The 25,000-nt window shown below is 38.1% G+C and overlaps 1 protein-coding gene across 10 annotated transcripts in view; it reads right to left on the bottom strand.

The window, feature by feature from the left end:
- Positions 1–25,000, bottom strand: part of ADAMTSL1 (ADAMTS like 1) — a 1,004,318-nt gene that overhangs the window by 784,247 nt on the left and 195,071 nt on the right. Inside the window, exon 1 of one of the 10 annotated variants that reach the window (XM_047424076.1) lies at positions 11,799–12,934. The exons of the other annotated variants lie outside the window; for them this stretch is intronic. The gene's annotated coding sequence lies outside the window, so the exon portion shown is untranslated. Of the gene's footprint in view, positions 1–11,798; positions 12,935–25,000 lie in introns of those variants that run through there. 10 annotated transcript variants of the gene reach the window in all.

Below are 25,000 nucleotides of genomic sequence, written 5' to 3'. Positions count from 1 at the left end.
TCTCCGTGTTACTGTGCCAAACGACCACTGCTTTAAGATTTCCAAAGTATTATAATAATAGTTCAAAATTAAATATTTGTAGTTTTGGCAGGCTCCAAATGACATCAGCTGATTTTATTCCCCAAGTGGCTATTGCAAGCCTACTACAAGTGGTGGACACTCTGCCACGTGTGGTGCATGCAACAATAAGTAAGGAGGTAGACAAGTAAACAGATGGCTGCAGTACAGTGTGATAAAGACAACGCCAAAGGGGCTTTGAAAGCATATAGAAAGGTATTGGACCCTAAATAGAAGGATAAAGGAGGACTTCCGGGAGGAGGGTAATACTGGAACTAAATCTTAAAAGGAATGAGTTACTTATAAGGAAGAGAAATGGGAATAGTGGTAAGAAGGAATTTGTGAGAGAGATTCTGGGATACTTGATCTGGATGGTGGGTACACAAACATGTTCACGGTGTTATGATTCACTATACTTACAATTTGTGTACTTTTCTGAATGTATTTTGTATTTAAGATAATTGTTAAAGAAAATCACTGGAGTATATTACAGAATTTAATACTTACCAGAATCTTGTGAAATAGTTACAGTAATCTTCATTTTAAGGATGAGAAAACTAGACTCATTCTGAATGTGAGTGATGTGTCAGCTCCATGACGGTGTTGAGGTTTTGGTGGCAGGTACGTCAGGCAGGGTTCCTACTGGCATGATGTTCACACTCTAGTTGCAATTGAATAGTTTGTCCCAGGTCACAATTTCAATAAGAAGTAGAACTGGATTCCAAACTAACTATGGCTGATTCCAGAGCCCCTGCCCTTTCTCAGCATACTGCCAGATTTAGTCCTGTTGTCAGAGTCCGTGGAAGACTTTGAAGAAATTTAGTAGCAGAAAAATGAGCAAATCTACAGTTTGGAATAATTACTGTCAGCAGTGTGGAAAAAAGATGCAATATAGAAAAGTTCTTTACATTTGTGGTTAATTGACTTTCAATAAAGGTGACAAGCTAATTAAATGTGGGGAAAGAATAGTTTCTTCAACAAAGTCGGTTGGGACAACTAGAGGTCCACATGCAAAAGAATTAAGTTGGACCCTTATCTCGCCATGCAGAAAATGTAACTCAAAATGGATCACAGATCTAAATTAAAAGCTAAAATTATAAAACTCTTAGAAGAAAACATATGTATAAATTTTCATGACCTTGGATTAGGTAATGGTTTGTTAGATATGACAGCAAAAGCATAAGAAACCAAGAAAAAAATAAATAAATTGGACTTCTGATATGGTTTGGGTGTGTCCCTACCCAAATCTTAACTTGAATTTAACTCCCACAACTCCCACATGGTCGTGGGAGGAACCCAGTGAGAGGTGATTGAATTATGGGGGTGGGTCTTTCCAGCATTGTTCTCATGGTAGTGAATGAGTCTCACCAGATCTGATGGTTTTAAAAACAGGAGTTTCTCTGCTCAGGCTCTCTCTTTCCCTGCTGCCATCCGTGTAAGAGGCGACTTGCTCCTCCTTGCCTTCCACCATGATTGTGAGGCCTCCCCAGCCACATGGAACTGTGAGTCCAGTTAAACCTCTTTCTCTTGTAAATTGCTCAGTCTTGGGTATGTCTTTATCAGCAGTGTGAAAATGGACTAATACAACTTTCATTAAATTTGTTTTGTTTTTTAACAGCAAGAGATGGGACTTGCCTTAAGAATGTGAAATATTTTCCTCTCCTAGCAATACCAAACTGGGTGAATGAGTCACTCCAACAAACTCCTAAGAAAACAGAAAATTCTATTTCCTATCTTACCCTCAACAGTATTTTCTGGCATTGGACACTAAGAATTTTCCTTAACATTCTCAAAGGAAAGAAAAAACACTTCGGACCAGAAAACTAATATTTGAAATAAGAGGAAATATTTGAACTTAAAAATTCCCTTTTGAATTGCAAAGGAGTCAAGTATACCTTGCCTTAAAATGGCTTTCCATTTTTTTTCTCTCAATGAAATCATCTTGAACACTCAGAAATTCCAATTTAAATAATGACTTTTTAAAAACACCTGTTCAAATATGACCTTATTTTTATATACTCACTATATCACATATAACAGGCATGTTCAATTGGACTTCATCAAAATTCAAAACTTTTATGCATCAAAGGACATTCCCAACAAAGTAAAAAGAGAGCCCACAGAATGAAGAAAATATTTGCAAATCATATGTCTGATGCAGGCCTAGCATCCAGAATATATAAAAAAGTAACACAGTATAACAATAAAATGACAAGAATTTGGCAAAACATTTGAATAGATATTTTCCCAAAGATATAGAAGTGGCTGTCGGGTGTGGTGGCGCACACCTGTAATCCTAGCACTTTGGGAGGCTGAAGAGGGCAGATCACGAGGTCAAGAGATCATGACCATCCTGGCCAACATGGTGAAACCCCGTCTCTACTAAAAATACAAAAATTAGCCAGGCATGGTGGTGCACACCTGTAATCCCAGCTACTCGGGAGGCTGAGGCAGGAGAATCACTTGAACCCAGGACACAGAGGTTGCAGTGAGCTGAGACGGAGCCACTGCACTCCATACTGGAGACAGAGCAAAAACTCCATCTCAAAAAAAAAAAAAAAAAAAAAAACTGGCAAATAAGCACATAAAAAGATACTCAACATCATTAATCATTAGGAAAATGCAAATCAAAACCACAATGAGATACCATTTCATACCAAGTAGAATGGCTAAAATAACAGACAATAATAAGTCCTGGCAAGAATGTGGACAAATTGGAAACTTCATAGATTGCTGGTAGGAATGTAAAATTGTGCTGTCACTGTGAAAAACAATTTGTCAGTTTTTCTTTAATTATATGATTGCATTTATATCTAATGTCCAGAATATGCAAATCCAGAGATATGAAATAGATTAATGGCTGCCAGGGGCTAGAAGGGAAGAGGTGTCTGCTAATGGCTACAGGGACGCTTCCTGGGGTGACAGCAATGTTCTAAAATTATGCAGTGTCGACGTCTGTACAACTCTGTAAATTTACTAAAATTCATTGAACCTATACATTTACAATAGGGAAATCTTATGATATGTAAATTATACATCAGTAAAGCTGTTTATTTTTAAAAGTTATCTGAGATCTCTGAAGGAAAGGTGATCTATGTATGTGAGTATAAATAATAAAGACAATATATATTACATTGTTATTATACAATCAGAAAACTAGACTACTTCCAATTTTTAAAAGAACAAAATCTCTTCATTTGCTCTGGGATCTGTGAGGATTTTAAATAAGTGTATTTCCTCTAATGTCAAAAGCATAATAGCATAATATAAGTGAGTAAGAGGCACACAGAATGGCTTTCTAATTCAAATTATACCCAAACAATAAATTGTATTGAATCAAGTCATATTTGTACATAACATGATTTTCAGCCAACTTGTGATGAAAACTGAAATGCATAAAATGTGTCTTGTTATAATCACAATGCAATCTGGAAGATGAAATATGCTAGAATATCTAGTTACTAGGAGTTAAGAATTCTAATACCTGAAGCCAGCTTTTCCTAAGTGGATTTTAAATTCAATGTAAGTGGATTAAGAAATTCAATTTTCTGTTGTCACACATGACAAAAAGCTTGAAAAGTGATGGTAAAATATATCTTTAAACTTGAGACTGGGCACAGTAGCTCATGTCTATAATCCCAGCACTTTGGGAGGCCAAGGTATTTGGATCGCCTGAGCCCAGGAGTTTAAGACCAGCCTGGACAACATGGTGAAACTCCATCTTGACAAAAAGTACAAAAATTAGCCAGGTGTGGAGGTACACACCAATAGTCCTAGCTACTCAAGAGGCTGAGGTGGGAGGATCGCCTGAGCCTGGGGAGGTTGAGGCTACAGTGAGACCTAGTCCCCAAAAAAACAAAAACAAAAAACCAACCTGCCCTGCCCAGTTGTACAGCTTCTTCCAGACAGAATTAGTACCAGCACCGCTGAAAAGAAGATGTATGTAACTCATCCTCCAAAATTTCAGCTAATCTCTATGAATATATTCCTTTATTTTGGACTGAACCATTATTATAAAATCAGAATTTTGTAGGCTTATTTTCCAATGTTCTTCAAAAAAACCACAGAAAACTTAGGCCATTTATGCTTAGCATAAATCACACTAGTAGAATCAGATCTATGAAAATGATAAACAGCTAAAAAATTTCACCATAAGGCTGTCATTTCTCATTCTAAGAGAAAGGAGGAATCCATAGAAACAGCAAAAGTCCTGGGCCCTGATCTTCTGCCAGTGATTAACTGACCCTTCTTGCCTCAGCGTATTAAACTCTTGACTCTACCATCTGGTGCTCACCCATCATCTGTGTTTCCTGTTGCTGCTGTTGCAGAGGCTCTCCAGGATGTACCACATGGTGTATCTATTCATGAGTCATGGATATGTAGGTTGTTTCTGCTTTTTAACTATTATTGGAGTTATGAACATGCATTTATAAGTTTTGGTGTGGACATAGTTTTAAATTTTTTGGTATATACCTAGAAAAGGAATTGCTGTGCCACACTAAACTCCATGTTTAAATGGACTCCATGTCAAACTCCAAGTTTAACTTTGTAAGAAACTTTCACCAGGTCACATATCATAAAAGGCAGTTACTAAGGAAGGCATATTTTCCTATTTGCCTATTCTGGATATTTTATATAAATAGAATAATCTGATATATGGCCTTTTATGTCTGGTTCAGAGACAGAAAGTAAGTCAGTGGTGGCTAGGGGCTGGGTAGAGGAGGACATGGGAAATTGGTACAAGGGATCTTTTGGAGGAGATGAAAATTTTCTAAAGAGTTTTAAGAATGGTGATGGGTGCAGAGTCAGTTTGGTAGTATACAAGTAGCAGAAATGGTCACCAGGAAACTCACCACAATTTCAGAATTTCTGTTTGCATGGTAAAAATACACCATCATTTTAATTTCTCTTTCCTCATAGGAGGAGTCTTAGACATTTCCCTCTTGTATGATATGTGTTTATATATTACAAATATCAGACATATGATAGAAAAAGACTAGTAAGGAATAAGTCAAAATATTAATAAAAATTATCTCTTTTAGTAGTTATTTTTCAGTGGGATTTCAAATAACTTTTCCTTATAGTTGTTGGTATTTCTTAAGTGTTCTACAATGAGTTTGCATTACTTTTGCAATTGGAGAAAAATACATTTCGATGGCTTGTTTAATAAGCTACAGACTGCATAATGCCTTTACTTCAAGGCTTCCCCTTTAGGGACTGACCCTATAATGAAATTGTGGGTGGGTATTTCAATCTCAGTGCCAACAAGACCAATACAGATTCATTAATACCACAAAAACAAATTAGTTTGAGTTTTTTGTCGGTGTAACTGTCATGGTACTTCAAATGTCTTATAAAAATGGAATCATTTCAAACACATGGCTGGCTTTTACACACAGCTTTCTCTTTATGTACAACTGTCTGTATTTGTTTTAGGTGAGGGAAAAAGAAAGTCCCTGATGACATTTTGCAAATACCAGTTGATGATTTTCAAAACGATTTCTTTTTCCTAGAGCCAACTGTATCCTTTGGAAGTCTCTTACCATCTGCAATCAATAAAAACAAACCTTATCTTAAACTACGGTTTTTTAAAATGTCATTGCAGTACTCCACCTATTTTCTTGTAAGGGGAAAAAAAATAAATAAAAGCTTTGGTATGACTTCCACATTCTGGGGCCAAACTGTATTTCTGTGTAGAGTCTATATAGGAAGGGGTTAGGGTGGAGGGTGGGGAAGGGAGTGGATAGAGAGATTCAGCATCAAACATTAATGTATTAATAATAGGTAATTTAGTTAGCTCTGTTCCATAATTAATTTTCAGGGTATATTAAATTACATGACTAAAAACATTTGAAATATAGTCTATCTTACACTGATGCTTCTTAAACTTAATTTATATATAAATTATCTGGGTATCTGTTTAAATGTAGATTCTGATTCAGTAAGTTTGAGCAGAACTAATTTCTGCATTTCTTATATGTGTTTTTTTGTGTGTGTGTACACACATGAAATAATATTATGCATATATGGACACAATGTTTAATGAAGAATACCTGGTATTACACAGAACTTTTTCATTTTATTTTTAATTCAGACTGTTCTATGACTACAGCCTAATTCATAAAAAGGGGATACAAATCCCTGCTTAGAAAGTTCCATGTGGCTGTGGTAGGCAGCCTCCAGGGTCCCCCCCAACAATTCCTACCTCTAGTCCTGACACCTCCTCCATTCCCCTCTTGTATTGTACCAGGAATGGTGTGTGATGAACAGATTTGAGCAAAACAGATGCTGTGCCACTTCTGAGATTAGGTTATAAAAGACACTACAGCTTCCATCTTGGGCTCTGTTGTATGCTCTCTGGAATCACTCACTCTGGGCCAAGCCAGCTGCCATGTTGAGAGCAGTCTCATGGAGAGGCCCATGTGGTAAAAAACTGAGGCCTCCTGTCATTGACCATGTGAGTGAACTTGGAAGGGTATCCTGTGGCCCAGTCAAGTTTTCAGATGGCTGCAGCCTCAGCCCACTCCTGTAACCCTAGAGAGAGCCTGATCCAGAACCATCCAACTAAGCTGCTCCCAGTTCCGTGAATCTCACAAATCATGAATTCACAAAAATTCGTTGTTTTAAGCTGGCAAATTTGGGGTAAGTTTGTTGCACAGCAAGAGGAAACAAATACATGGCCTATATATAATGAATTCATAGAAAAGTGGTGTGTTCCTAGAGCTCATGAGATTTTTCTAGTAGAATATTTTGATCTCCCAAAGTTAAAAGACCATGCTATGTAATAGATTCGGATGTTTTATCAATGTCTTTCTGTCTTGGTTTCTGTTACTCATTGAGCAGTTTTGGCAAAGGGTGAGAGTGAAGCCAGCAACTCCTTTCAGACATACACCCTGACCTCCACGCCTGGCAACCTTATTACTGTATACTCTCCTAATTCAGCAGCCCACCCTGGACTCCTGCAGAAACAGGATAATGATTTATAGTAGTAAAAGCAGCCCTCCACCTGCTCTGTAGTACATCATACTAAAGAAGGAAAGCAACCTCATATTAAAAATATGCAGGCCTGTAATCCCAGCACTTTGGGAGGCCAAGCTGGGCGGATCACCTGAGGTCAGGAGTTTGAGACCAGTCTGGCCAACATGTAGTGAAATCCGTCTCTACTGAAAAATACAAAAATTAGCTGGGCGTGGTGGCACACACCTGTAGTCTCAGCTACTTGGGAAGCTGAGGCAGGAGAATAGGAGAATCACTTGAACCTGGGAGGCGGAGTTTGCAGTAAGCCGAGATCACGCCACTCTACTCCAGCCTGGGTGGCAGAGAGAGACTCCATCTCTCAAGAAAATAAAAATAAAAAAAAAATATTCAGGAAGGGAAGACCTAATTCATAGGTAGAAATCACAATGTCTAGCCTACATCCAAAATAAGAGCATCTTGATGAGAAGTGTTAATTTAATAATAACAACTTCTTACATCATGTTTTCTATTACTGTTCTGACCCATTTTAAAATATTAGTTCATACCGTTCTCACAAATTAATGAAATGGATACAATGATTATTCCCATATTACAGATGAAGAAATTGTAGGTTAAGTAACTTGCTCAGAGTCACATGATCAGTATGTGAAGGGGCCAAGCTGGCTCTGGAGTCCATGCTCTCAACCTCTCTGTACTGTCCCCTCAAAAATAACAAATGTTTGCTGCATTAAAATACTATGAATTTAAAAGTCAAGGGACTGGTTAAGTGGAAATCACATGCTTTGCGGTATTTTCTGTCTTAGTGAAAAAATACAGGGATATTAGACAACTTAGGGATAGCGCTACCTTCAAATCAACTACAATTTCGAATAAAGGCATATGCGTTTAGAGGAGTTTATAAGCAATTGGCTCTACTCTGTGTCAAACTGACAATGCAGATGACATTGCAGGTTTTTAAGTCCCACCTAATCCTAGGGCTGAGTGTAGAAGGATAAAATTGTCCCATCTGCATTCTATGATTCTAATACTTGGCCATGCTGTTTCTATGTTTATCTTTGTTTTCTGCCTCTGAGTTCCAAAGTCTTCTCCCTCTCCCCCATTAAAGGCAATCTCAGACTGAAAGCTGGTTGGCCCACTTCTGTGAGCATACCAATCAGATCATGAGTAATGACTGGGCACTTTCATTTAGGGATGATCCTAACAACAGGATTGAGTCCAGCTGCCATGTGTTGCCTAAACTGAATATTCAAACAAGGTGGAAAACACTGGACCTGTGTCCTTGGATACTGGTAGCTTCAAGGACTGTTTATTGCTCAGCATCTTAAATCAAAATAGAAAGAGATTTCACACTGGATCCTCCTTTTCCATACACATCTTCTTAGGCAAGGTTGGAATCCTTGTGCAGCAAATCTGATCATTAGCAAGAATCACTGAGTGAACCAGAATTGTTGTCCGTCTTTCCATTTCTGAATAGAAGCTACGGCTCTTTTTAATCAAGATGCAAGTGATTCCTTTTGACTTTCAAATAGAAAGATAACTTATGAAACTCATCAAGTGAGAGCAAATCCAGCCCTACCTGCTAGATGTTTCTATAGGAATTTATTTTTGTGCTTCAGATAACAATACATTCATGATGGATTTAATTGCAATGGTGCATGCTATATTTAGGACAATGTTGCAAACTAGTGTATTAAAAGGAAGTGTAAAGAGGTTAAAGTTTTAAATGATCAAGCATTAAAGCAAAAGATAGAGTTAGTACAAATTTGTAACCCTCATGTGGCTAGCCAAGAGTGAATGGAGAAGCAAGGTAGCTATGCATGGTTTTATTAGAAAGGTCCAATGTAACATGCATTTTTAAATTCATTTTTTGTTTATTCAATAAATATTGAGTATTTATTATGTGTCAGACATTACATTAGTTTCTTAGGATGTTTCATTGAGAAAAACAAAGACCCCTGCCCCTGAGAAGTATACTTTATAGTCAGGGCAGACAGATACTAAATGATAAATGTAATAAATAATTAAGTTCCAGCATTTGTTAGGTGACAGGTGCCATGGGAAACAACAATGGGAAGAGGTGTTGGGAGTAGTGGGAGTCCTAGTTTAATAAGATGGAGAGGGCCAGCCTCATTAACAAAGTGACAGTTCAGCTAAGATTTAAAGGAGGCTGAAGGAATTTGTCTTGGGTGTATCTGGAGGAAGAGCTCTCCAGTCCTTGGAAACAGCTAATGCAAGGGCTCTGAGGCAGGAGTGTGCCTGGTGGATGGGAAACACCAATGAGCCAGTGTGGCTGGACCAGAGAAGCGAGGGTGAAGGCGGTAGGAGAGAAAGTAACGAGGGCCAGATGATGTCAGACCTTAGAGGTCATTTAACAGACTACGACCTTAACTCTGAAAGAGGGGCAGACAACAGAGATTTTAGCAGAAGAAGGACATTAGCCAAATTGTATTTTTACTGAACTGCTTTGACTGCTAGAGAATGGCAAAAGAATAAATATAGAGATAACTACAGCAATTCAAATAGGAGAAGATGGTGGTTCAAAATAGGTGGTGGCATCAAGTAGTATAAGGACTGATTAGATTCTGGACATATTCTAAAGGTAGAGACAAGATTCTTTGCTGAACTGGATGAGGTGTATGAGAAAAAAAGAGAAGTCAAATGCCTCTGAGGCTTAGGCTTTTACAATTTGAAGGATGGAGTTTCCTTAATTAAGACAGAGAATGCCACAGGTAGAAAGATAGTCATTGTAGATACTTAAATGTGAGATGTCCATTAGAAATATAAGTGGAGATGTCAAGAAGACAGGTGGATACCAGAGTCTGAGGACAGACCTAATGCTAAATGATGAGTTAATGGGTGCAGCACACCAACATGGCACATGTATACATACGTAACAAACCTGCACGTTGTGCACATGTACCCTAAAACTTAAAGTATAATCATAATAAAATTTTAAAAAAGTATTTAAACCATAAAAAAAGAAAAAGAAAATTTTAATAAAAATGGCCTATTCTTATAGCCACCAGATAAGACATCTGCTACATAAAATGCAACCCCTGTCTTTATTTAGCCACATGACTCATTGGAGAACTACTATTGGCTGAAAAGGAATTGATAGAAAGGGAGATTTCATAACACAGTGAGAGAAACAATTACAAGCAATGTGCCAATCTGACAGGCAAATATGTGTGCAAAGTAAAACCCAGCAACCAAGAGCCCTTATGTCAGAAACACAAGTCTTATTCAGAATACTCAATATAATTGTTGCAAATATAATAATTTTGTTCTCAAAGGTGTGTGTTTCAGGAGAAAAGTCATATGTGAAAGCCATTTACACATTGCTTACACATCCTGACTTTCTGCTTCTTACCATCTCTTGAAGCTACTGGATCTCTAAAGACAATCTGTGAGTTTGTCTGCAATTAATGGACTACTACAATTATGTAGTCCATTAATTGTCCATAAACGTCTGTGTTCACTGTTTATGCAGTGAAAACTATTTCTATTTATAATCTCTTAACATATGATGGCATCAAGCCTTCGACTGCACAGAGAGGGGAAGCAATATCACACCATCAATGTCACATTACCCACGGTCTCTGTCCCTGCTTCCTCTAATAGTGCTGGCATGACATGGTACATGGCTATCTCCACAATATCAGAGAACAGTTTTATAAGGCACAACTTAGTAAAACTAGAATGCAGCAGAAGCTATCACATGACAAAGTCATTCTGAGTACTGTTAGAGACAATGGGTTTAGACTCTTGAAAGAAAACGCTATTTCCTTTATGAAGGGAAACATGCATGGTAGCTAAAAGCATAAACTTTGTAGCCAGACTCCCTTAGGTCTGAATCCCAGATCAGTACCGGGCTATGTGGCCACGAACAAGCATCATCACTATTTGTAAAATCACTATTTGTAAAGTACCAGGCTATGTGGCCATGAACAACCTCTCTATGCCACATCATCACTATTTGTAAAACAAGGATAATCATCATGCCCATTTCATGAGGGTTGTCAGGAATATTAAGTGAATTAATATTCATAAAGTCACTAGAAAAGTGCCCAGAACACAGTAAATCCTCTTTAAGTTCTGGTAAATAAACAAAATACAGATTTTTTTCCTTTTAAAGTGCACCTACTTTCTCTTACCACTATCATTGGTGTGTGTTTCTCAAATTTTTAATAGCTTTTCAGAAATTGCTGGCAGCCGTTAAATATTTTTGAGTTTTATTCCCATAATTGTAGACTTGTTCTCTCTAAAGCTCATCTCTGAGGTAGTTTCTGAGGCATGCCAGGTCCCCCTGCCTGCCTTCCTGCCTGCCTTCCAGAAATTGCCTGCAGCATGCCTGGTAGAGTTCCAAGTTCTCCACAGTCAGCCAAGTAAGGTTTAGTGTTATTTTTCATCACCTTGACGTCAGTGAGAAATATCACTAAATTAATGCAAAAAAGATGTTCAATAGGATTTCGTGAATAACTCAAAGCCCACTGCAAATACAGGATTGTCTATGATGTTTTGAATTGATGGAAATCTGTCTAGGGATTTCCAGCAATTCATAAACCAATTTCAGCTGACCGATGTAAAGTTTCATTTTTTTTAAAACCTGGCAAGTTAGAATGAAAGTAGAATCCCTTCCAGGCAAACACCCTGAATCGATTCAATTATCATTGACAACTAACGAATTCACTGCAGGTATCAGCAAAAGTCCCTTACGGAGAAAGTCGACCACGGTGGCTTATGTCCAAACTCTCTTGACTTACCTTAAAACATCAGCAAAGAAAGAATTGTCTCCACCTTGTTAGGCCTGCCTACACAGATTTCTAACTCCCACATTCCCTTCAGCCTTCACCACTGTCTTTAGACGTGCTTTTTCCTGCATGTGCAAAAGTCATTCCACTTACACTCTAAGCTTGAGAACTTTCTCCCACATGTTTCTTGTAGGCTGCCAATATTCATCAGCAAGGGATTTAACATGAATCTTCTTTTGTTTTTTTCTCTTAATATTTTGAGTTCCAGAGTCTGATGTAACAATTTTTTCTTCATATATGAGCAATACCAAAAGGAAGGCATTTGGGTCTCAAAAATAACAATTTTGAGAACAGTCTTTATGGGGGAATCCTTAATTTTCATATTTTTCTGGGTTTTTCACTCAGGTTTTCCTCTCCTCCCTCCTTCCTTATTTTTTAGCATTATTGCTGCCTAAGCCTTGTCCGTTCTGATATCAGAATACATACCTACAGCCTTCAGAAAGTTTGGCTCATTTTAAATTTCCTCACATGGTATATGCAGCACAAACTCGTCAGGTCAAACTCATTTTCTAGAATTGATTCCTCAAGTTTGATTAAGCTGTTTGGTTTGCATAGCTTTATCCGTAGCTGTTTCTCCTGATCCTGGGAGAGTGTTTGAGTTGAATGGCCAACTTTCATCAAATGGCCAACTTTCATCATTTCATGAAAAGTGCTGTCACTAATGATTTTTTTCAACGTGAAATCCAATGAGTATCTTCAGCCTTCCTGTTACTTGATCTCTCAATGTCATGTGACCCAAGTAAAGTGCTCTCCTCTTTGACCTCTAAGATTCTACCCTTTTCCTCATATTTTTCTTACCTCTTTTGATCCTTCTTGTGGGTCTTAATCTATCTCAAGCTTCTATTCCATTCTTCGCATTTATGACATTTGTGTTTTATTTCTCTCTTCACTCAGTAGAGCAATCCCAGCTTTACCCTTCACTACTCTCTACCTATATGACTTTGAGAAAGTTGTTTCACTTTTCTGTGCCTCAGTTTCCTCATCTACAAAGTGGAAAAACAGCATTTATCTCATAGGGTTGTTTAGTTAAATACTGAGTTAATAGTTACACAGTTACTTCATACTTTAATATCAATATACTTAATTTTAATATACATAATATAGTTAATATTTTACAAGTCCTCAGAACAGTGACTGTCATATAGTAAGCAGTATTTAGATGTTTAATTTTTTAAATTAACTCCCATGGTGTCAACAAAATCACTCACGTGCTGAAGACTTTCTGGATCCACATTCCAGTCAAGACCTATCTCTCTAGATACTACATACCCTCAAACTGAATGCTTTGTTATTGGTACCTTGAGATCTAGAAGCTCTCGTAATGCTTTTTTCTTTCTGCTCTAGCTCAAGAAGTGGCACCACCCAGTTGCCCAAGCCAGGACCCTGGACCTTGACTTTCTTCTGCCTCATCTGTACATCTCACCGTCAATCTTGCTAAATCTCTTTCCTGAACATATATGGAACTTATCTTGCTGTCTCCAGTCTTGCCCAATCCCATCTAACCTCCCCCACCTCATTTGGAGTTTTGTTAGATGTAACCAGATACTGCCCCATCAAGATCCTTCAATTATGTCCCCATCAAAACCACTGCCACTGTCATTAGTCAGTAAGAGCCTAAATGCCTGGACATGGCCTACCAGGTCTTCCTATTGGACTTACTCATTGTCCTTCATCTCTTTCTTTCCAACCAATTTTCACCCATTTTTCACAATCCCATCGTATCTAAATGACTTACTTCCCTGAGTACCCCGTATTCGCTCAGAACTCAGCTTTCATACATACTGCCCCACTCCTAATCCCTACAACCTTCTAGCTAACTCCCTTTTTTAAAGCCAGTTGGAGAAAAAGCCCTGGACTAGACATTAGAACACCTGGGATTTCGTAGCAGCTCCATCATTACTGATTGACTGTACAAGTTCAAGCCACATACAAATGATGGTAGCCTTCTTTCTAATCCTCAGTATCCCTCTGACAAAGATGACTACTAATTCAACTAATAGGTATTAAGCTCTTATATGCCAGAGCCTGTGCTAGACTCTAGGGATGAGGCAGTGAATGGATGGCATCTCTGCCTTCATAACATTTACATGGTAGAGGGGGATATTGACATTGAGCTAGTAAATTCCCCACAAATGTCTACCAAATGAAATAACTGCTGTGTATTGTGCAACTGTCTCCTACTACTATGTATGCACACTTCTGTTACAGCTCATCACTATATTGCAATTACTGCTTTTCTGCACACATTATCTTAGGTTTCTCCCAAAAGGAAACAGTGAGACAAAAACATGGGTGCAGTTGGTTTTAGAGGGTATGATCTCAGGAAGCACAGGCGAGGAAAAGTGAGATAAGAACTAGGAAAAAAAAAAAACCCAAAAAAATGGGTATATTTGTGAGTATATAACTGTTATGGGCAACTGAGTCTCAGCCCCTCGAAATCTCTGAGAATCTGTATGGAACATACCTCAATGTTATCATACCAGGGAGTATGGGAGCTGAAGCACACTATACCTATTAATGGAGTACGTCCCCTCGGGGAGATTAACTCCACTGCACTTTCAGATGGCACTTGCATGTAACCATGCCACAGGTGAACTCAGATGGACTAAGGCAAAAATGGACAGGACCTTAATGACATCTACTACAATGTCCAGTTCTCCTACCCACCTAAGCACTGCAAAAAGTACACATTATCTATCTTCCTATTCATAGCACTTAGCAGAGTAGGATCCTAGAACAGGGTGACAACTAAATAAGTGTGCTGAATGAATGGATAAACCTCTACTACATAAGTGTGGTGAAATAAATACCTGCATCAGGTTCCTGGTGCTCTGGAACACTGAAAGCTAAAGGGGCACAAGTGATGGGACTCCTGTTGGGAAACTGTTTTCTTAGTGAATTATCACATATAAAACTTACCATTAGATGCTTAAAAAAATATTAATTTCTAACTAGCTATTAATCCCATTTGAAGAGATGCATGGTACTGGTAGTACTGATGGGGTGGACTCACCAGTGATATCAGGAAAGAGTTGCATGGAAATAGCCAGTGGTTGACTTTTCTTGGGCTCAACACTTGACTCATAGCTTTATGAAAACCGTGACCCCAACTTCTTACTTCATAAAAGAAAGTATCTGTATTATTTAACTACATGAGCACCTGAATGTACAAAACTGTCTGTTGAGAAAAGATGTAAGTTCTGTTTATGGCGGTCAGTCTAAAGTGGACTCCAAAATGTCTTGTGCATATTTTTAAATGATGCTTGAAATTTTAGAGGTAAATATTTATTGACAATGATGATGATAGGTTTTGCACAGCTTTCTTTTTTGGCAGTAAATGACTTCCCATTTCACAGATACATAAAATAAGCACATAAAATAGTTTAAAAGGGCTTCTTGGACATCAAATAACTCATATTAAACATACTGATGAGTTAAGTGTAAATAAATGAGAAGCACATGGATAAAATTTTCCTTAAATACATAAAGCTTTAGACATTAAGTGAAAAAGAGACTGACAAAACACATCTGGGGTTTTGCCCACTGCAAAGTTATTTTTAGTTTTGTATATTAAAACAAATTACAATTCAATGTGTCCAGCCCCAGTATAAAATCTTGATTTATAAAATAACTCTTGTCATTATGATGATTGGGAAGATAGCATAGACAGTTAGGAGAACTTAGCCCTGACCCAAGAGGGAGAAAATTCTTCAATCTCATTTAAAAGCAAAAGGTCAATTTTTGTTGCTGTTATTTTTAGCAAGGGAAGTTTAAGGAAACACATTTCTACACTTCACTCTGCAAAATGAACACATGGAGAGAGCATCATTTTAGAGAAGAAAATTGCTGCTACCTGTTTTACATCAGCTAAAACTAGATCATATTTTAGAGGTAGGTGTGAAGAGTATTTGCTTCACCTAAGTTTGTTCAACAAAGTTGATCAAAAACTAATAATGTTCCCGAGTCAACTGATACATATTATGGGAGGGGTGGTTCAGTTGACTCTTATTCTTCATATCAGCCAGATTCATTTTTGCCCTTAACTATTACTTATAAGTAGGCATAGCAGGATGAGATCAAAAGAGAAACTGGCCCTGAGCCTTTGCTAAGAACCTTTCATTAAATCTGGTCCCTTTTCCTAGCAGGCATAAAGGGCCATTGCCACTTAGCTTAGAGAGTCTCCATGCCTGAGCAACAGCTTGGTAGTCACCAAGAAAAGAAGAGCAGCTGCTCCAATTCCATTACACAGGTATTTCTCTTACAAAAGAGACAGTGAATCACTAGCTCAAAAAGACCCCTCAAAGCCTCAAGCTCAGGATGTCTCAGATAGGGGTTGAAGCTTTCTCAAAGGGTGGTACAAAGCAGGTGTGTCACAAGAAGTTATCTTAGGGCTTTATCCCTTGAATGAGAATGCTAATTTCAGTCATAGACCCTGGTGGCCTGAATTATGGAGATTCTCTAAACCTGCCTAGTCTTGCACTTTCCCTACCTGCAGCATTCGCTGGGCCACAGTTCGCAAATCCAGTTCCTTTTTGAGGAAGCAACATGAATTGAAGAGGACTGAATGATCATGGAAGACCCTTGAGATGCCAGAGAGCTGAGAATTAGACACTCTATAGCCAACGGCCCTCAGATCCATTTGAGACCAACCAATGGCTGCACAAAATATTCAGAGAAATGGAGCCCTCAGGCACCCAAGAGAATGCAATTAGAGGAAAACTGAGTAACTGAAAGTAGTCTCTAGGGAAAGAGGAAAGACTTGATGAAGAAAGAAAAGGCATCTAGAAGCTAGGGCCCTTTGTCTGCCTTGTGGGGCTAGGCTTGGGGAGTAGCTTAACCTCACCTCACTTGCCTGTGTTCCTCTTTCTCTTTCTGGATCACTCTCTACTCCTCTCGTATCCCAAGGTAATTTGCACACAACAGTGAAAAGTGATACTGCTTATGAAAGAACATATGGTATCAGTCTGTCACTCTGCTCTCTTTGGTTTTATACGCAGGGGAAAGTGGCAGTAGGGGTGTGACTACAGGTTACTCCCACATAGATGTCAGAGGACTGCAGGCAACTGTGCAATTGCAAGACCTGGTGCCACGCTGCTGACAGCTAAGAATTCAAGGGACATTGGGTTCAAGTTCCGAAGAATTAGGCTACAAGATTTTGGTAAAGGGGGTCTAAAAGGCTGTCTGATATACTTCAAATGCATGTTTTGTTATTACCATGAATCTGTTTGTCCCAGGATGACTCCTTCTGAAATAAGCATCTCCTTTTATTTATACCCTTTGAATATCAAAGAAATGGTCAAAAGACCACATGGCCATGCCTTAAATTTGCCCTCAGGAAAGAGGGAATATGTGAGTCCTAAACTGAAGTTGGATGACAGGAGGGAGGATGATTTATTACCTGGGGCACTTAGTATTCTTCAGAATGTCCCAGACTGGCCAACATATGATACACAGAAGTACTGCAGTCAGCTACTTCCTGGGCTACTGTGTGCAGGCTCCAAACTCTTCCTGGATGACCTGCTGATTAGGAGTAAACACCTGGGTCCTTCCGAGGGATTCCTGGCAGATCTACCAAGTCCCCAGTCTCCTTACAATGAGGAAGGGAAAGAGAGAACACAAATGAGGGTGTAACACATAGGAATGGCCAGATATGAATGTAAAGGAGGAAAGATTATTAGAATTTATTTCCTCCAACAAACTTCAAATTAGGCGAGGGAATTTGTCAATAAAATTGTATTCACAAGTCTTAAACTTCTAATGTCTATGTATGCAGTTGAGAAGAGTCTTTTATGATACTGTATCTGAAGTAATTTTATAAGATTGCTGGTGAGTTGCAAAAAAACTATAGCACTGAGTAATGCTTATCAATTCGTTACAGCCCCAAACTTTTAATAATTTTATACCACGATCAGGGACAACAATAAAATATATCCCTCCCTACCTTGTACACAACAATGCTTTCACAGGTAACTGCTGGTGAATTTCAACTACGACATGTATTCTGATGATTTTTACTTTAATACTGAAAAGAATTTCACTTAAAATAGATAAATAATTACACATTGAAAAAGGAGAAAAAAAAAGAGCTAATTCTCTCATCAAAAGTCCATGATAAGGGATATTAAAAGACTCATCACATTGACTAATTTTTACTTAATGTTCAAATAAATTCTAAGAGTAAAAAAAATAGTTCTAAATATCACCCTTGATATTGAGGATGCAGTATTTTTTAAATAAATGCAAGAATTTAGAAGTCCAAGGCCTCTCCAACCACCTATTTACTAGACACAGACCAATATTTTGTATTTTAACCTTCTCTGTGATCTGGCTTCCAAGAGCCTTTAAGATCATGATTCTCGGCTGGGCACAGTGGCTCACCCTGGTAATCCCAACACTTTGGGAGGCCAAGGCGGGAGGATGTCTTGAGCTCAGGAGTTCAAGACCAGCCTGTGCAATATGGCAAAACCTTGTCTCAACAAAAAATTTAAAAATTAGCTGGGCATGGTGGCACAAGCCTGTACTCCCAGCTACATGGGAGGATGAGGTGGGAAGATGGCTTGAGCCTGGAGGTTGGGGCTGCTGTGAGCCATGATGGTGTCACTGTACACCAGCCTAGGCAACAGAGTAGAACCCTGTTTCAAAAAAAAAAAAAAAAAAAAAATTCCACACTCTTGCTTTTAAGAGTTAACGTGAATACTTTTTGCTCACTTCTTTCAATTTTAAGATTCTTGGGCTTTGGAGGAAACTAAACACCAAGAATATCTTCTTCAAAAGAGGCTTTCACTCTAGAAAGACTTTTCTCAAGTGTAATAAAGACCTACTTTCAAAAATCATTAATTATAAAGCCACTTCCTATATGTTTTAGAAACAGGATTCTTTCAGGTGTCATTTTATTCTATTTTCCCATCAGAAATCGGCAGTGGTTTGGCGGCAGGAAACTGTGCTGGAGGGCTCAGCACGGTGGCTCTGAAGAACAATGCTGGTCGTGACTGACTTCTGGCTCAGCATTTAACACTTCCTGGCGTAACTTTCTAATCTGTACCAGGTTATATACCTGCCTTCCAGTTAATGTCTTCAGGCATGCAGTTTGACATCAAATTCACAATGATTTAATGTTTGGGGTAAAAAAGGCAGCACATAAAACACAGTCTGGACTTCAAGAATCTTTCTGCTCCGAAGCTCAGAAAAATTGGTATTTGTTTTTATTTTGTTGCTTAAATTATTTTCAAGTCTCTAAACTATTTCTTTTTCTCCCTTTGAGTCCATATCCTTTTCAAGTCCCAGAGCATGGCTATAAAAAAAAATCATGTTATTTTTATGTTCATCTAGAACTTCGGCTCCTTATTCCCTGAAGTACTGCCATGTTCAGCATCACAACAAAATACTTCTCTCATTTAATAGTGTCTGTCACTGTGGATTTCTACCCAGGCAGTTTTGTTTCAGCTTCATGCATGCAAGGAAATGCTTCTGCTGCAGGAGGAAGAGGTGAATTCTAGCACTAACATAATTAAAATCTTCATTAGGATCCTGGGAATTGCAAAATTCATGTACATGGAGCCCATCAATGTAAAACTGCTGGATTAGGAGCCATCCAGCTCACAAATTTTGAAGGGAGATGAGAAGTATCATAGCCTGAGATGTGGACCACTTCTATCTCCAAATCACAAGAGTAACTTACAAATATCTAATGCAGCCCACTATACCCTCATGACAGGCATGGAGTGCTGCAGTTATGCAAGAAAAATTAGGCATAGACTTAATAACAGATATAAGAAAAGACAGCAGGGAAGAACGATGAATAAAAATGAAAGACTATTCCCAGAGTGGCTTGAAGATGTTACATAAAAAAGCCCCAACCTATGTGGTCTACAGTCTATTTTTGTTAGTCAATAAAGTAAGTTTCAATGTGGGAATTGCCAGATATCTGTGAAATATTACCCTTCTAATACATGGCGTTGGCAATATGCAGTCTATTTGATTATATAGTAATTAGACACTCAGGCCCATTCTTATCATCTAAACTTAGACCATTTTTCCTGCTGGCTAGAACCTCATCTAAAAGATGCAACTCAAATGTACAATTGCTGCTACTTGTCAGCTGTTCTGATAAAGCATTAGATATTTGTAAGTTACTCTTGTGACTGATTGAAAATAACCAAATAAGTGAAGGTGAGGGTGGCATTTTCAATGTCAAGAAGAGATTACGTAGATTCCATTTTAATTTGTCTACACTCTGTTATTTTGATCATAGGTAATTGTGAATTGGCTCTAGTTTAAAGCCAGATAGACAGAGATCTTAAACTCGGGCTGTCTTTACAAGATTCACAATAGTATGCCCTGCTTATTTGGGCCTTTTTTCCTTAACACAATAAATGTGCGCTAAGCAGAGTTGAAACTTGTCCTGAAAAACCCATGGCCTCAGGGGTTCCATTGAGAAATGCTGTGTGGGCAAACAAAGCTCTCTCTTTGCAGCTTTACAAATGATAGGTTTTCACTTTATAAGATGTTTTCACTGCATTCTTAAAGCATCTGCTGATGCAAAACAGCATGGGCCAGCAATCCCAGTTTAGCATTGTATCTGGAAACAAATGTCTTTTCATATGAGGCTCACACTCTCCCTTAGTTAGCTGCTTTCATTCAGAAGCAGGGAGAACAAGATGCAAGTTAGGGGGCCAAAGCGAGCTGCCTGCCTTAAGCAGTGTGACTCCCCTTTCCCTCAAGCACATATCACTATTCCCTTGCCTCCTTAGTGATAGATTGGGTAGCTTTGAACAAGCAGAGCAAGAAGCTCCCAGGGACGAAAGGAGGTGATGAGAGTCACTCTAGGAATTCAAAGATAAGAAACATCTGTACATAAAATAATCTCCTGACCGATATTGCAAAATAATCTTTTGCAGAACTGAGCATCCAACTGCTGTAACTAAACCTGTTCTTCGGCTGAGTTATTTGATGAGTCTTCCTAATTTTTAGAACCCTGACATGGTGCAGTGGGCCTGTGTTTTTTGTTCTACTCTCCAGAGGAGATTACTTGAGTAATTTGTCAGTATGGTTTTCCCAAAAGGAAAAATGACTATGCAATATAAGATGTAACTAAGTTAAATAGAAGTATGTCTATGTATACATTCTAGTGAGGTTGTATCTTTCTACAACATCTTCGCCATGGAAACAGCCCCATATCCTTTATTGCATTTGGCATTACGGGTAAGGTCTGCAAAGCACTCTTTGTGGGGCTAGTTTACTTTCTGCATTCTTGTTGCTATGTGATTTCTCCACTACAGTAATATTCTTTCAAGTACCCTATTTTTCCCTCTAGGCCAAAACACTCCAGAAATTAAGAAGATGGTATCTTATAAAATAAGGGGCTTAGAAATGCTCCATCAAAATAAGGTGATTTCAATTTTGCAATATTAAGTAAAACAATAAAATGCATAGCATGAAAGACTGTGAAAACATGAACTGGTCGTTGGTTGGGCAAGTGTCAGAGACGTTCCAGAGATTCAGCTTTTCCTTCTCTTTCTAGGCTATTCCTTTAGAATGCTGTCAGTCTAAACAAGTATGGCCAAGTTCTGATTATCCATAGCAATCAGGTCACGGATAATTAACACTTGTGGATCATAGAGACACCGAAAGTTAGGGCTGGAAGGAAACTCAGAGAGCACATATTCCAGTTCGCTTGTTTTACAGGTGAGACAACCAAGAGCGGAGACGGTGTCCTGTACGAATTTACACATCTCATTAGGGGTAGACCCTAGAATAGAACTGAGTCTCTGACTCACAGTACTCTCTTTCTACTCTCTCCCATGGATTATTTTTAGAGGCTATTTTTTTTTTATTTATACATACGGCCTTGACCTCTTCCTTAAAAATAAATGTTTTTAGGGATATAGTTGCTGAGTAATCTCTAACTTACCTTATTAAGTCTGATTTATTTTACTTTGCTCCAGTCCACCCTTAGTTTGAAGCCTCATATAAGTGATGAAATGGCCAGTAGACACAGGTAAGATAAAGAAAGCCTAGGGTGATAGTGACTTGCAAATTGAATATTTGAATAATTGAATGATTGAATTGAATAACTGATTACATTTCAGCTCTTTTAAAATTATTGTTATTTAAATTAGTTTAGATTTAGGGGGTACAAATGCAGTTTTGTTACAAGGATATGCTGCATAGTGGTGAAGTCTGGGCTTTTAGTGCGCCCATCACCTGAAGAGTGTATATTGAACCCAACAGGTAATTGTTCATCCCTCCCTACCTTCCCTCCCTCCTGCCTTTTGGAGTCTGCAGTGTCTATTTTTCCACTCTCTATGTCCACGTGTACCTACTGTTTAGCTCCCAGAGGTAGCCCAAGTGTGGCCACCTGCAGGTTATGGGCAGCACTGGTGGTGACTGGAAGCTGGCAGACCAGGAAAAGAGCTAAAATGGAAATTATGGAGGCTCCAGTCCCTTTAGTACTAAGCACTGTATAATCAAGTCCAAGGCTTTGTGATTAGGGTGGAATTGCTCATCCCTGACTTCGTCCCTTTATTTGGGTGAAAATTTCATCAGTGGAAGGGAAGCATGCAGTAACTAGAGAGGGAAAAACGGGATTGCGACTACACTGCTAGTGGTATATCACGTAAGATCATTCAGCAGAGAAGAGGTCTGGAAACTGGGAGATACTGTTCACAACTCTGTCAAGAGCTGTGTGGCCTGTAGAGAACTAATAAATACTCCTAGGCCTCAGCTTTTCATGAAATAAAGAGATTGAACAAGTAGTTCCCCTAAGCATATTCTAAACAATATGAGTTCTGTAAAGATGTTACTATTTAATTGTATATGTGCACACACACACACATGATAAAGTAACTTTGAGAATCTCTGGGTTATAAAATGTCAAACTGGTTTTGACACTAGGAAAATCTCAGGGCTTTCAATATGCTAATACATCACAGATATCAGCATACACATCTCCAAAGTGAAGAGTGTAGCATGCAGCAATTCCTCAGAAATTCTTATTTATAGACCACCTATGGGTCTAGTGCTCCACAGAGCACACGTCCAGAAACAAAGGCCTAGAAGATGTCTAAAGCCCCTTCCAGCTTTTAAGTTCTTGAATAGAATTCCATGGAATATAGGTTGAAAGATCTAAATTTCACTTCAAAAAAATTCCTCATATGACATACAACATTGCTGTTTTTATAGCAGGCACTCAAATACTATAAGAAACCTACAATGATAGATACTTTATAGCTAGTAAGCCTAAAATATGCAGTTCTCACCCTAAAAACTTGTTCAAGCAGAGCATATCATCCTGTATTGCCCACTTGCTATAAGAAACTGGGATGGTTTTGTATCTATTTTTCAGAAATTCATAGTGCTGGCCTAAGAATAAAGAGAGAAAAAAGTGGGCTTTATTATCTTCCTTAGATTATTTCTTGAAATTTATTCATGTTCTTGACATCATAAAAATCCCCTGAAAAGATTACAATCGCTTGAGAAAACATCGTTATAAGTATCTAACCCTGATTCTAACAATATATGTAGCATGTAATAAACTTAAAAAGTCCTATGTTTTGCTACAAATTGTCCCTAAACTCATCAGCTGGCCTAGTCCTGAACATGTAAAATATGTACAATGAAAAGCCCAGATGTCTTTAATTTTCAATGAAAAAAAAATGTGTTTTTCTAACATTCTGCAATCTAATTTGTTACATATCACCAAAGATCTCTTTATCCTGTAAATTTTTGGCATCTTTGCTTATTATAAAATCCCCAGGAATATAGAGAAATCATTTCTCACTAAACAGTCTACTTTTCAGACAACATATATAAAAGTGGCATAAGAACCCACGTATAGGGATGGGAGAATACTAAGAGTCAAGGGCATCAGTTCAAATGTAAACAAAAATAACAGCTTTGTCATAATCAAGTTAGTGTCATAACTGGGCTCTTCGTCTCTGGATTTTTTTCCCTCTCTGACTGACCCTCCACACAGAATCATCTTCTAGCTCTGATTATTCAAATCTATTATTTCGAAACTTTTGAAAACTCCCTGTATCCACAAAGCTAAGTACAAATTCCTTTACCTGCCATTCATCCCTTGATCATCGCTATAAGCTTTCTAGACTAATCTCTGTAACTTCCTTTTACATGCCATACAGAAAAACTGGTCTATTTGGTACTGACTGGACACACGCCATGATTTCTCCCTTGGTACCTTTGCACAAACCAGCCCTCCTGTTGGATTGTTGACTCTGTTCTTTCTTCATGACCTGCTCCCACATCTTGCTGGTCAAAATCTTATTCATCATCCAAGACATTTTCCAATTTTAACTCTTTTGTGGACCTTTCTGAATCCTTCAAGTAGAAGTGACCACTAACTAACTGAACCAAGACCCTCTTCTCATGCTGAATACGTTTTTGAAACATTTGTGAACTGTCATATTTGTATATAATTCATAAGATAAGACCTTGACATACAAGAAAAATACCATGTCTGTTTCTCAGGCATTGGATAAATAATATTTTCAGAAATAAATTAATTTTCAGACTTTTATATTAAGCACATAGACAAACACTTTATAAATAAAATAAATGGCTAAAAAATTGAACAAAACTGTAAATAAAAAGAAATAAATGGCAGAAAAAAACCATGAAATACTTCAAAGAAATTTGAATGTATGAAAAGATCAGCTTAGGTTAGAAGACAGCAAGTTACATTCATAAGGATTTCAAATGGCATACTTTTAAGGAGTATCTCTAGTATATTCAAAAACAGACATGTCTTTTGAAAATATTATTAAGTAACGCCTTTCTCAAAAGGAAGTCAAAGAACAACATGAAAGAAACATAAAAATATGCCCACACACGGGAGCTAAATGAAAATTTCTGTCCTTGCCCTGAATACAGTAAGTTTTGTTTATCTACCTCTGACATCCCTGTCACCACTACTTACACCTATACACAGAACCAACCTTCTCACCAAGAAGAAACACTGATGTGGGAGAGCAACCCCATCCTCTGATCTAAAGTCAAGACATGCATACCTGCATACGCACACTAGAGCCGAGGGCCAGCTGCTCTTCCTTTTTCTGACCGGCTGGATTCTCTACCATGTCTTCTTACTCGAACCTAATACATTTATTCAATCCTACCTGCAATAATTATCTACGGTG

The sequence above is a fragment of the Homo sapiens genome, chromosome 9 (genome assembly GCF_000001405.40).
Source record: "Homo sapiens chromosome 9, GRCh38.p14 Primary Assembly".
Classification (NCBI taxonomy): domain Eukaryota; kingdom Metazoa; phylum Chordata; class Mammalia; order Primates; family Hominidae; genus Homo; species Homo sapiens.
Note: the sequence above shows the minus strand (reverse complement) of the source record. Positions and strands in the feature narration are given on the sequence as shown.